The following is a 14464-nucleotide window of genomic DNA, read 5'->3' as shown; positions in this document are numbered from 1 at the left end:
AAATGTCTGGGCTCATCTTGAAGCAGATATCTGACATTCTCATGTGAATAATGACTCTAAAAGATCTTATGGCAGGAATTACAGTAGTAGAGATTTTTATAAGGCTTCTGAAATAGTTGGGATGGTTTTGGCTGGAGGTCATAGAACGTCCTACTGAAAGGGACTTAAATGATACATATGTTAATCATGAGAAAGAAGAATGAAACCACCATGAATATTCATTCCACCAATATTCATCCTCTCTTGTTGTGGAAGGACTCACTTTTCCCAGAGCAGTTTGCTTCTTTCACTTCTGCCCCAAACCTGAACAAAATCTGTGTTCTTTGGAGAAGAGAGGAATGGCTGTTGGGTAGACATCCAGGAGCATCTGCCACAGCTCTTTTTGCTTTGGCTGTAGTCAGATGTACCATGATTTCCTAACATTATGTTAGAAATTTAAAGCAGAGGAGAGCATAGCTAGAGAAGATTTCTCTGATTTTTTTTTCTTACCTTTTAGGTGAGGACTTACTGTTCACTTTCTCTATTGGATATATCAGTGTGTTCACTCCATATATAGGTAGGGCTTATTTGAAAAGTACCATTTTAGGGAAACATGATAAATGTTGTGAAAAACATAGAAGTTTGGAAAATGAAAAAAGAAATTTCTTTATGAAAAGCCAACTCAACTATCTGGGAAGTAGAGAATAATTCTTTGTAGAGTGCTAATTTGAGGGCCAAAATAAGCCTCTGGATGAGGAAATATTCCAAAAGCATGTGGATTTTTACTCAGGTAAAATCTTACCTCCTACAGGCTGAATTCTTTTGTCAACTTTATAAACCAGAAATTGTGATCAATGAGCTAGATTTGCAAGTGGGTCGAGTGCGGCTTCTACGGAAACAAAGTGAGGCTGTTCACCTACAGAGGTAAGTAGGGCTCTAAACTAAGCTGCCAACTGTGGGGTTTCCAGAAACTTGACAGAAGGTCTAGCTCAGCCTCTTGTCTTTGTGCAAAACACATGTCTGAACTGTGATATCTGTAGTATGCTATATGGGAAGGAGCAGTGTTTTCCCAAAGTATGTTCTGTGAAATTAGATATCAATAGGTGAAAGAGGTGATGAAAGTCATTAAAGATTTGGCACTACCAAAGATGAATTATTGATTTTATTCACTGCAGTGTATTTAGTGAAGTATGCCTCAGTTGGAAGTCAGGCTTATGTCTAACATTAGTCTGTAAATTCCTAGAAGGCTGGGGTTATATAAGATTCTGAGATCGAGGTAACATTAAATACTTATTACATGTCTGACTTTGTACTAAGTGCTTTACATATTTTCTCATGTAGTGGTTGTAATAATCCTGTGAATTAATATATTAGTATCCTAGGGCTGCCATAACAAATTACCATAAACTTGGTGGTTTTAAACAATGACATTATTCTTTCACAGTCCTGGAGGCTGGAAGTGTAAAATCAAGGTTTCGACAGGGCCATGCTCCTCCCTCTGAAGGCTCTAGGGGAGAATGCTTTCTTGCCTCTTCCTGATTTCTTTCTTTCTTTTCTTTTCTTTTTTTTTTTTTCTTTTTAAGACAGAGTCTCACTCCGTTGCCTAGGCTGGAGTACAGTGGTGCGATCTTGGTCCACAGAAACCTCCAGCTGCCTGGTTCAAGCGATTCTCCTGCCTCAGCCTCCCGAATAGCTGGGATTACAGGCATGCGCCACCACGCCCAGCTAATTTTTGTATTTTTAGTAGAGACGGGGTTTCACCATCTTGGCCAGGTTGGTCTTGAACTCCTGACCTCAGGTGATCCACCTGCCTTGACCTCCCAAAGTGCTGGGATTACAGGCCTGAGCCACGGTGCCTGGCCTCTTCCTGGTTTCTTTGGCTCCCAGCAGTCCTTGGTGTTCCTTGGCTTGTAGTTGTATCACTCTAAGTTCTGTCTCTGTTGTCATGTGGCCCTTCTTCCTTGTGTGTGTATTTCTTTTCTTCTCTTCTTTTTTTTTTTTTTTTGAGATGGAGTCTTGCTCTGTCCCCCAGGCTGGAGTGCAGTGGTGCGATCTCAGCTCACTGCAACCTCCACCTCCAGGGTTCAAGTGATTCTCCTGCCTCAGCCTCCCGAGTAGCTGGAACTGCAGGCATCCACCACCACGCCTGGGTAATTTTTGTATTTTTAGTAGAGATGGGGTTTCACCATATTGGCCAGGCTGGTCTTGAGCTCCTGACCTTGTGATCTGCCAGCTTCGGCCTCCCAAAATGCTGGGGTTACAGGCTTGTGCCACCATGCTCTGCCTTGTGTGTGTATTTCTATGTCACCAAATCTTCCTCTTATAAGGACACCAGTCATTGGATTTAAGACCCACCCTAATGCAATATGACCTTATCTTAATTTGATTAAATTTCTTCAAAGACCCTATTTTGAAATAAGGTCACATTCATAGGATCTGGGTAGACATGAGTTTGGGGAAAGATTATTAACCTATTACAACTAGGTACTGTTGTTACCCACATCTTACAGGTGAGGAAACTGAGGCTAAGACACATTAAGTAATTTGTCCAAGATGAGCTAACTAGTACAGGTAGTCTTGTCTTATTGATCTTTTTAATCTCCAGAGCCTAGCATCGTATCAGATGTGTGAGTATTCAGTGTTTGCAGAGCAACTAAATTCTGTAATTTTTGTATGTTGTAAGATTATCTGGTATAGCTTGAAGACAGTTACTGTGAGCTGTTTTCTCATCCTTGTTGTTGAATCTGGAATATATGGTTTCCCAGAGCAAAACTAGGAGAAGCTTGCAGCGTGGTTTTTAAACTCTTTTTTTCTCCTTCCCAGGGAGAAGTTCACTTTCGCTGCTACACGGCCGTCCTCTGTTCTCATCGAGCAGCTTGCAGTGTGTGTCAGCAAAGGGGAGCCTGTGTTGCTGGTGGGAGAGACCGGGACTGGCAAAACCTCTACCATCCAATACTTGGCTCACATTACAGGTAATCCCTAGAGGAAATAAATCTGCCCCCAGATATTTCACACTGACTACTTTTTTTCCTTTTTTAAAAATACTAAATCCAAAGACCACAGAGTTTAAAGAGTGCCAGCACCCCACATGTAATCTCTGCCTGGAAATAACTACTGTTAATAGATTATTATTAAATTATTTCATTTCCAATCTATGCTTATGCAAATACATATACGTATAGATTTTGTTTTATTTCAAAACAGATATGGGATTATGTTCTACATATTGCATTATACCTCATTTCTTCTTTTTATTTTTATTCTTTTTGAGACAGGGTCGCACTGTTGCTGAGGCTGGAGTGCAGTGGCGAGCCCACAGCTCACAGCTCACTGCAGCCTTGACCTCCCAGGCTCAAGTGATCTTCCTACCTCAGATCTGAGGTAGGAAGATAGCTGAGACTACAGGTGTGTGCCACCACGCCTGGCTAATTTTTAAAGTTTTTTGTAAAGACGAGGTCTAGCTATGTTGCCTAGGTTGGTCTCCAACTTCTGGGCTCTCATGATTCAGAGCAAAGGCACATTTGAAAATTTACCTTATTGCTGGGCGCAGTGGCTCATGCCTGTAATCCTAGCACTTTGGGAGCCTGAGGTAGGAGGATTGCTTGAGCCCGGGAGTTCAAGACCAGCCTGGCAACATCATGAGACCCTGTCTCTACAAAAAATTACAAAAATTAGCCAAGTCTGGTTGTATATGCCTGTAGTCCCAGGTGCTCGAGAGGCTGAGACAAGGATCACTTGAGCCCAGGAAGTTGAGGCTGCAGTGAGCCATGATTGGGCCACTGCACTCCACCCTGGTTGACAGAACAAGACTCTGTCTCAAAAAATAAAGCCCTATGCCATATTCCCACAGCCTTAAGGAGCACACTGGATATTATCGGTCTTTAAATTTTTGGAGTAACACTTTTGCACTTTCTTTATAAAAGGCCACCGTTTGAGGGTTGTCAATATGAATCAACAAAGTGATACTGCAGACTTGCTTGGAGGGTAAGTGTGGCTTAAAATTTTTTTCTTATTTTTGTGTTTATTGCTTGAGGTAAGAAATACTGTTTTCTTAGTGTTAACAACCACAGGTTCTAGGATGCTCGATGCAATAGAAAAAGAGTTTTCTCAGATAAGGCTTTATTGGAGCTTTTGGCAGGGTACCAGGGACACAAAAGAGAGAATTCTGTGGCTGGCCCCAGTAAGACAGGAAAGTAATTTTAAGGGGCTAAAGTGGGAAGGAAGTGATATTTAAGCATGTAGAGGCAGGGAACTTCTGGCACTTGAACAGTTTGATAACGTGCTTCTTCATGTGTCCCATGTCTCAGCATGGGTATGATTTTTAGTATAGCAATGAAGCTAAGGCAAAGGATCAGTCATTCTTCTGGTCTTGTGTTTGTGCAGGAAAAAGGGTAAACTCCCTTGAGTAAGATTTAAGGTGTGAGTTGCTTATTTTAGTTTCCTCAGGGTCCCACCATCAGTGTGTATGGTGCTTTGAATAAGATTTATGGTGGGACATTGCTCATCTTAGTCTCTCTAAGGCACCTTGAGCAAGATTGCACCTTACCCCCCAACCACAGCAAGGTATTTATTTGAATTTATTGAGGAGCTCATGGGTGTGTAGATGTTTCTCTTCATTTTAATGAACACTTGAGGCCCTTGTTCTCAAAGGTCATATGATGGAAGAAGGAGAAAAAGCAGGCAAGTATATAATCAATTAATGTTTGTGTATACAGTACAGTTGATCTAAAGTGTAAGTTCTGGGCCAGGCGTGGCGGCTCACACCTGTAATCCCAGCACTTTGGGAGGCCTAGATGGGTGAATCACTTGAGGTCAGGAGTTCGAGACCAGCCTGGCCAACATGATGAAATCCCATCTCTACCAATAAATACGAAAATTAGTTGGGCATGGTGGTGTGCTGTAGTCCCAGCTACTAGGGAGGCTGAGGTGGGAGAATTGCTTGAATCTGGGAGGCAGAGGCTGGAGTTAGCCGAGATTGTGCCACTGCACTCCAGGCTTTCTACCTTGGTTTTATTTTACTTATGTTTAGTTGGTTGTTTGAGGAACTTGGCAATCTGTTCTTATTAATATATATGATTTTTCATTTAAGCAGACATGTCTATACTGCTGTATATATTTACCTTTATTCTTTTTTTTTTTTTTTTGAGACAGAGTCTTGCTCTGTCACGGCTGGAGTGCGGTGGCGCGATCTCTGCTCACTGCAACCTCCGGCTCCCACGTTCAGGTGATTCTTCTGCCTCAGTCTCCTGAGTAGCTGCGACTACAGGCACACACCACCATGCCCAGCTAATTTTTGTATTTTTAGTAGAAACAGGGTTTTACCATGTTTGCCAGGATGGTCTCCATCTCTTGACCTTGTGATCCACCTACCTCGGCCTCCCAAATTGCTGGGATTACAGGTGTGAGCCACTGCACCCGGCCTCTTAATTCTTTTTTTGTTTTTTTGGGAGGCAGGATCTCGTTCTGTCACCAAGGCTGGAGTGCAGTGGTGTGATCATGGCTTAGCACAGCCTTGAACTCCTGGGTTTAAGCAATCCTCCTGCCTCGGCCTACCCAGTAGCTGGGACTACAGGCATAAGCCACCAGGCCTGGTCTATTTCTCTCTATTCTGTATCTATATGTCTTTAGTAATTTCATACCATTAAGTAGTCCTAACATAAATGGCATTGATCTTGTACTAACTGAACATGGACTGGGTCCTTCTCTTCTACTGTGAATTTGTAGTGTTATGTTAGCCATTGCAAGTTGTTTTAAATATAGTGAGTAAACAGGAGTACATTTGTGATGCAAATTGATGACACGAAAAGGTTGGACTCAAAGTATGATTAACTAGAATTTGGTTTTGGTGCCAACTTGGTGAATAGAATATATCTGTTTTTCCTTGTTAGTAGGTCAGCATCACTTATTAAAAGAAAACGCTACTTACATTTCCATTTGAAAAGATCACTTGAGCCTGAGAGGTTGAGGCTGCCGTGAGCTGTGGTTATGCCACTGTACTTTAGCTGGGATGACAAAGCAAGACCCTGGACAGGATCTAGCTCTGTTGCCTACGCTGGTTTTGAACTCCTGGCCTCAAGTAGTCCTGCTTCAGCCTCCTGAAGTGTTGAGATTACAGACATGAGCCACCGAGCCTTTTCTCAGTTTTTGTGGGGTTGGAAATGTGCCTTGTTTTCTGTACTCTTATATTACTACAAAGAGATTTAAATAAAATCTTTTAACATATATTCTGTTATAAGTGAATAGGTGACTCCCTTGTTTAAGAATCATTGTAGAAGATGAGAATACCAAAAAGTTTTTAAAAAGGCAAGGGAATGGAGAACAAAATTCAGCTGTGGGTAAGGAGATGGGATAGGGAAAAGATAAATATTCCTATCCTCAGGCCGTGTTGCTGGTTTCATCTGTTTTATAAGTTATGTTAAATATATTTTGCATGTGTCCAGTATGTTAAATAATAACCTGGTTTGCAAATTCGGATCTTTTTTTTTTTCTTTAAGATAGGGTCTCACTTTGTCATCCAGACTGGAGTGCAGCGGCATAAACATGACTTATTGCAGCCTTGACTTTCTGGGCTCAAGTGATCCTTCCATCTCAGCCTCCTGAGCAGCTGTGGGACTGCAAGCACAAGCCACTACATGCAGCTGATTTATTTTTAGTAGAGATGAGGTCTCACTATGTTGCCCAGACTGGTCTGGAACTTCTGAACTCAAGGAATCTTCCCGCCTGGGCCTCCCAAAGTGCTGGGATTATAGGCACTGTAGCTGGTCTTGGATTTTATTTATTTATTTAATTTTAACTCTTTTTTTGGGGGGGGACAGGGTCTCACTCTGTTGCCCAGCCTGGAGTACCATGGTGCCCTCATAGTTTGCTGCAGCCTGTACCTCCTAGGCTCATGTGATCCTCTTGCCTCAGCCTCCCGAGTAACTGGGACTACAGACGTGCACCACCACGCTTAGCTAATTATTTTCTATTTTTGTAGAGATGAGGTCACACTCTGTTGCCCAGTGTATTCATTTGTTCTCACACTGCTGATAAAGACATACCTGAGACTGGATAATTTACAAAGAAAAGAGGTTTAATTGACTCACAGTTCCGCATGGCTGGGGAGACCTCACAATCATAGCACAAGACAAGGAGGAGCAAAGTCGTGTCTTACATGGATGGTGGCAGTCGAGAGCTTGTGTAGGGAACTCCCCTTTATAAAACCATCTAATCTCATGAGACTTATTCACTATCATGAGAATAGCATGGGAAAGACCCACCCCCATGATTCAATTACCTCCCACCTGTCCCTTGCACAACACGTGGGAATTGGAGCTACAATTCAAGATGAGATTTGGTTGGGGACACAGCCAAACCATATCACCCAGGATGAATCTTGAGCTCCTGAGATCAAGTAGTCCTCCCCAGTCAACCTCCCAAAGTGCTGGGATTACAGGCATGAGCCACTGTACTTGGCCTTTTTAGATTAATTTTAAAAACTTTTAAAAATTATTTTTGTTTTTTTTTTGAGACAGGGTCTCTGTCACACAGGCTGGAGTGCAGTGGCACCATCAGGGCTTATTGCAGCCTTGACCTCCCCGGCTCAAGCTATCCTCCCACCTAGGCCCTCCTGAGTAGTTGGGACTACAGGCATGTGCCACCATACCCAGCTAATTTTTTTTGAACTTTATAGAGATGAGGTCTCACTATATTGCCCAGGCTGGTCCCCTGAGCTAAAATGATCCTCCCACCTTGACCTCCCAAAGGGCTGGGATTACAGGTGTGAGCCACCATCCCCAGCCTAGGTTTTTGAGAGAGTTTTGCTCTTGTTGTCCAGGCTGGAGTGCAATGGCATGATCTTGGCTCACTACAACGCCTGCCTCCTTGGTTCAAGCGATTCTCCTGCCTCAGCCTCCCGAGTAGCTGGGATTACAGGCATGTACCACCATGTCGGATAATTTTGTATTTTTAATTGAGATAGGGTTTCACCATGCTGGTCAGGCTGGTCTCGAACTCCTGACCTCAGGTGATCCACCTGCCTCAGCCTCCCAAAGTCCTGGAATTAACAGGTGTGAGCCACTGTGCCCTGCCCTAGATTGATTTTTGAAGCAATTATTATTATGGGTAAAGATACTTTATAAAAATAAGGGCCTTAGAAACCATCAAATTATTTACATTATAGCAAATTGTCTTTTGCTCTTTGTTAGTGTCCATTATCCATTACCTCCTTGGTTTTATTCTTTTGTGCTTCTTGCTTTTTGATTAGTGTTGGCATGATATGTCTTTTTCCTTCATTTAATTTTAAACTCGTTTTTGTCATTTTATTTAACATGGGCTTCTGGTAAGCAGCATGTAGACCCTCACATTACCTGTAGGTAGAGACATAAATTTGAAGAGTTGCGGGTGGGGACAGCCAAAGATAATCCTTGAAAAAGAGTAGAGGGCATGGAAGACTTAGATGTGGCAGATAAAATCACTCCAGAAAGAGAAAGTCTAGCACTAAAGGGCAAAATACAGAGTGCATGTTCATAGCACTTACTATAGGGAATGGGCTTCAGAGGGGCAGCCTCTGAGGGAGAAACAGTGATATATTGAGAAGGACCGGTTACCCTGGAGAGCTTGGCAATGAAAGAAGAAAAAAAATAGAGGAAAATTAAAGATATTGTAGAAATAGTAATAAAGCAGCCAATCCTCATCTTCCTTGCCACCCACCCATAGAACAGTCTTTAAAAGAAACTGCCCAGAAGAGCATATGGCAGGAGCATGCAATTTGAACTCAGAACCCTGTCCATGACATGAAGAGAAATGGCTTATCATTCTAATTACTCAGCATGTACATTTTATATTCTTTTTACACTTTTTGTTGTTTCACATGTTATAATTTTGTGTAGCCATTCTCACATGAATGCTTACATGTGGTTCCAGTGTATGTAACAGATATAAGCAAAGTTATTTTCCATGAAGGCAGGTGTTATGGACCTTCTTGGCATTTAAGTGGCTCCCAAGGTGCCTTTCTGCAGAAGACGGTTTGAAAATCTTGCTCTTTAGTTGTTTGGTTGTTTGTAGTTTATATCCTCAGTTCTCTGAGGTGTCAGGTTGGTTCCCGTTGAATATTTGTGTTGCAGTTGCAGTTGATTTTGTTTTGTTTATTCTTTTTTGAAATGTATGTTTTTTCATCTTTTCATGTATTGAAATATGTATTGACTTAAGGGCTTTAGGTAATACTGTGCTCAGCTTTAAATGAATGAGCTTTCCTTTTTTTTTTTTGAGATGGAGTCTAACTCTGTCGCCCAGGCTGGAGTGCAGCAGCGTGATCTCAGCTCACTGCAACCTCTGCCTCCCGGGCCCAAGCGATTCTTCTCCCTCAGCCTCCTGAGTACCTGGGATTACAGGGGCCCGCCACCAGGCCCGGCTAATTTTTATATTTTTAGTAGAGATGGGGTTTTGCCATTTTGGCTAGCTAGGTTGGTCTCAAACTCCTGACCTCAAGGCATTCGCCTGCCTCAGCGTCCCAAAGTGCTGGGATTACATGCATGAGCCACAGCGCCTGGCCTGAATGAGGTTTTCTTTAAGGAACTCAGTCTACTTTGAAATATTAAGCTGCCTTTTTCATAAATTCAATAGATCAATAATAACAGAGACATTAATAATTGTATTAATTATCTATTAACTCTCTGTGGCAGTCATTATGTGCCAGGCACTGTTTTGAGTCCTTTTTCTGTGTTAACTTAGCTGGTCTTCTTAAAACCATGTGAGACAACAGACTGTTATCCTCTATATTTTAAACATGAGAGAACTGAGGCAAAGAGAGATAAGTCACTTATTCAAGAAAATGGCAGATCCAGGATTTGAACCTAAGCAGTCTTGAGTGTCTGTGTTCTTAACCATTACTCTGCTTCTTCAGTTAACTTTGGATCCCATTTATACTGTTATTTTCAGGACTAGCAATTTTGGCCAGGAGCAGTGGCTCATGCATGTAATCTCAGCACTTTGGGAGGCAAAGGTGGGAGTATTGCTTGAGGCCAGGACTTCGAGACCAGCTTGGGCAACATAGTGAGACTTTATCTTTAGAATAAAAAGTTAAATAAATAAAAAGATTAGCAATCTTATTTAAATGACACATATATTTTGTTCAATTTCTCACCATTTTCACTGTTGTCGTTCTAGTTTATCTACTGTCTAGTCCACTGCGTTGGTCTCTTATCTTTGCTTCTACTCCTAATCTTTTTATAGTCTTTTTTGTTTAGGAGTTACAATGATCCTTTAAAGTACAATCAGATAAAGTATAATTTTTTGTGTGTGTGTGTGTATGGCATAGTCTCACTCTGTCTCCCAGGCTGGAGTGCAGTGGCACGATCTTGGCTCACTGCAACCTCTGTTCCCGGGTTCACGCCATTCTCCTGCCTCAGCCTCCCGAGTAGCTGGGACTATAGGCGCCCGCCACTATGCCTGGCTAATTTTTTTTGTATTTTTAGTAGAGATGGGGTTTCACCATGTTAGCCAGGATCATCTCGATCTCCTGACCTCGTGATCCGCCCACCTCTGCCTCCCAAAGTGCTGGGCCACCGCGTGAGCCACCGCGCCCAGCCCAGTAAAGTATAATTTTTTATGGAGACAAGGTCTTGCTTTGTAACCCAGTCTGGTCTCACTCTCTTCCTCAGGTTCCTCCACTGAACTTCTCAGTCCATTTAGGATAAAATACAAAGGTTTAGAATAAAATGTTTGGTTTGTATAGCCCTTCATAATCTGACAGTGGTACTTCTCTGATATCATCTCTCACCTTCCCCTGTGTTGCTGAGCTCCAACCACTTTCTTCTGCTTTGCACCTAAATGCTTGCTATTTCTTCTGTGTGGCCTCCTTGCACCCACAGATAATGCTTAGCTCACATCCTTGCTTGACTTAGGTATCCTTCAAATGTCCCCTCCTCAACAAAGCCTTTCCTGACTGTGATACTCAAATTACCAAAACTCACATCACCCATTCAGCTTTTACCTTACATTATGTTCATAGCACTTAAGCTACTACTTGACCTCCTGAGCTTGAACAAGCCTCCCACCTCAGCTTCCCAAGTAACTGGGACTACAGGGGCACACTGGCATGCCTGGCTAATTTTTATATTTTTTGTAGAGACAGGGTTTCACCATGTTGCCCACGGTGGTGTCGAACTCTGGAGCTCAAGCAATCCACCTGTTTAGCCTCCCAAAGTGCTGGGATTAACAGGTGTGAGCCACCGCACCTGGCCTATTGTCACTTTCATTTGATTGTAAGCTACACAGGAGTAAGATCTTGTGGGTCTTGTTGATTCAGTGGCTAACACGTATAGCAGGTGCTCAAAAAAATTTTTATAAAGGGATGAGTTCTTGCTCTGTTGCCCAGACTGTAGTACAGTGGTGTTATCATAGCTCACTGTAGCCTAGAACTCCTGTGCTCAAGTGATCCTTCTTTCTTAGCCTCCCAAGTAGCTGAGACTACAAATGTGCATCACCACACCTAGCTAATTTTTTAATTTTTTATGGAGACAAGATCTTGGCTTTGTTACCCAATCTGGTCTCAACCTCCTGGCTTCAGGGGATCCTCCCGCCTTGACCTCCCGAAGTGGTGGGATTACAGGCATGAGCCACTGTGCCTGGCCTCAGTACATTTTTTGTTTAATAAATGGACTAAAGAAATGCCTATACTAATGTATTAGTGCTATGAGTAAGTGAAAGTGAGTTTGATGTTCCTCTTCAACTTTTTTTCTTTGGAACTGGACTCTCAGATTCAGATGCTCAGTATCAGGCCATTGGGTTTTTACTCATCTCATTGTTTCTCCCTCACTAGGCCAGTGAGTCAGCAGTAATCCATCAGTTCCCTTACGTTTGTTGTGAAACATATTTTGGTACCTTTTAAGTTCTCAACTTAAATTATTTTTCATGAAAATAAGATTTATCTCATTCTTCCTGAATTGTAATGGTATGCCATACAAAATTGGGTACTTAAGATTTTCTAGGAATAACTAGTGCCTCTTAGACATCGTATGTTTAAGCTAGAGCAATGTTTTTCAACCTTTTAAAAAATTATCTCTTACCTCCCCCAAATATTCAAATTTAAGTTAATTTCCTAGCTCCTTAGCCAGAGGAATTTAATGCTAAGGAATAACAAAGAATCTAAATACTAAGAAGTACAAGTTGAGCTTTGGAGTACCACAAACCATTGCAATAGCTAAGATTTTTTTTTTTTTTTTTTTTTTTTTGCGTGCCCTACCCTAATTTTTATCCCATTGAAAGCAATATCATTGTTGCTCTCTCCTACTCTTCGTTTTCCTAACTGATAATGTGTGGGCTGTGTTTAATTTACATAAGTAAATCAATTTCAGATATTTATTTTTCCTTGGATTTTGGTCAACCTTAATGAAATATGGATGGTTTTTTATTATGCCCTATACATATTTATTTAGACATGTTGGTAAAATAAATGATGTGAATTTTACTATTCAAGTAGGACTTTCAATTTTTTTTTACTTTTATTTTTTTGAGACAGGGTCTGGCTCTGTTGCCCACGCTAGAGTGGCAGTGGCGTGTTCTTGGCTTACTGCAACCTCTACTTCCTGGGCTCAAGCCTCCCACCTCAGCCTCCCAAGTAGCTGGGACTGCAGGTGTGTGCTACTGCACCTGACTAATTTTTGTATTTTTTTGTAGAAACAGGGTTTTGCCATGTTGCCCAGGGTGGGCTTGAACTCCTGGGCTCAAGTGATCTGGCCACCTCAGTGTCCCAAAGTGCTGGGGTTATAGATGTGAGCAGCCATGCTAGGCTAGTTTTTTTCATAACACTGTTTATCTAATAATAGTTTTTACCTTCATTATGGGCCCTTCAAATGCTTGCGATGGGGGAAAATATTACAATTTAAAACTGTAACGTAGATTTTAAATATTTCAGTAGTATTTCTGACGTTAATTAAATGAAATCTGAGACCTACTCCTGTTTTCTGAGCCATGCTTTCTAACTTCTGTTAACTTCAGAAGTTTGTGAATCACATTTACCTGTGTCTGTTTCAGTTATAAACCGGTGGACCATAAGCTTATTTGGCTACCCTTACGGGAGGCATTTGAGGAACTCTTTGCTCAGACATTTTCCAAGAAACAAAACTTTACGTTCTTGGGGCACATTCAGACCTGTTACAGACAGAAACGGTGGCATGATCTCCTGAGACTAATGCAGCATGTACACAAGTCTGCTGTTAACAAGGATGGAAAAGACAGTGAAACTGGTAAGGATGTGACCCAGGCTGCCATGGGGGAGGGCATGGGGCTGGGCTTTAGTTAACATATTAGTTTTGGGGAAGAGTAAAGCGATACAAATTGGAGCTTTCTAGGACTTTGGCAGAAGTGACTAATTGTGAAGTATTGTGCCCCATTATTCACGTATTTCCACAAAAACAGTTGACTGGTAATGCTGATGTGCAAGTACTATTTAGTGGTCAGTAAGGCACATTTCCTCAGAAAAAGCTTATTTCTAAGGAGCTAGATTCTATAGCCAAGAGGCTTTTGCTGGCTTAGTTTACTTCTGTGTGGTTCCTTATCTGTAAAGCAGGAATAAAAATAACTAGTCCAGAGGGTTGTTGTGAGGGATAAATGAGGCAGTTAATACATATATATTCATACATGTGGGCTAATTAGTGTCATGTCTGGCATTTTGTTAGCATTATACAAGTTTTTAGACTTAGTGTTTTGTGTAAGATGCTTAATTTTTGTGTGTTTTGTTAATTGTATTTGTTTGTTTAGAAGTTGTATATATTACAATTCAAAATGTGTGCTGAATTCTTGTCTTTCTTTTTTAGGGTTACTCATAAAAGAGAAATGGGAAGCATTTGGTCTTAGACTCAACCATGCCCAACAACAGATGAAAATGACTGAAAATACCTTATTGTTCGCATTTGTAGAGGTATTTCTGTTTTTGTTATTTAGCTTATGGGAACGTTGATTTTATGCAAAACAATGTTTCAGGCAGGTTACTATTTTGTATTGTCTTAATGAAATAATGATTTTGGGGGAAGATTTTGAAAAGTGTCCTTCATGGTAATTATGGCAATTATAAGATCTTAATGAGCACCATCATTATTTAAATAAAAATTTTAAAAGTACAAATTGATAAATTATAATTGTATATATTCATGGGGTACAAAAGGGTGTTATGATTTATGAATACGGTATGGAATAACTAAAGCTAGTGAATATTCATCATCTCAAATACCGTTTTTTGTAGTGAGAACATTTGAAATGTACTGCCTTAGTAATTTTGAAATGTACAAGACATTATTATTTATGGCATGGTCGCCATGCTATGCAATATATATCTCAAAGGGAAGAAAGCTTATTTTTTTCTGTCTAATTAAGGCTTTGTACTTTCTTTTCTTTTTTTTTGAGACAGAGTCTCACTCTGTCCCCCAGGCTGGAGTGCAGTGGCACAGTCTCGGCTCACTGCAAGCTCTGCCTCCTGGGTTCACGCCATTCTCCTGCCTCAGCCTCC

At 41.3% G+C, this 14464-nt stretch overlaps 1 protein-coding gene across 1 annotated transcript in view; it reads left to right on the top strand.

Moving 5' to 3' along the window:
- The window catches only part of MDN1 (midasin AAA ATPase 1), a 177297-nt gene that overhangs the window by 44271 nt on the left and 118562 nt on the right, over nucleotides 1-14464 (top strand). The window contains exons 13-17 of the mRNA NM_014611.3: nucleotides 791-903; nucleotides 2803-2951; nucleotides 3903-3963; nucleotides 12994-13205; nucleotides 13776-13879. Of these exons, the coding sequence (NP_055426.1) occupies nucleotides 791-903; nucleotides 2803-2951; nucleotides 3903-3963; nucleotides 12994-13205; nucleotides 13776-13879 (639 nt within the window). The remainder of the gene's footprint in view (nucleotides 1-790; nucleotides 904-2802; nucleotides 2952-3902; nucleotides 3964-12993; nucleotides 13206-13775; nucleotides 13880-14464) is intronic.

The sequence above is a fragment of the Homo sapiens genome, chromosome 6, assembly GCF_000001405.40.
Source record: "Homo sapiens chromosome 6, GRCh38.p14 Primary Assembly".
NCBI lineage: Eukaryota > Metazoa > Chordata > Mammalia > Primates > Hominidae > Homo > Homo sapiens.
The sequence above is the reverse complement of the archived record's forward strand: the minus strand, read 5'-3'. Positions and strand labels throughout refer to the sequence as shown.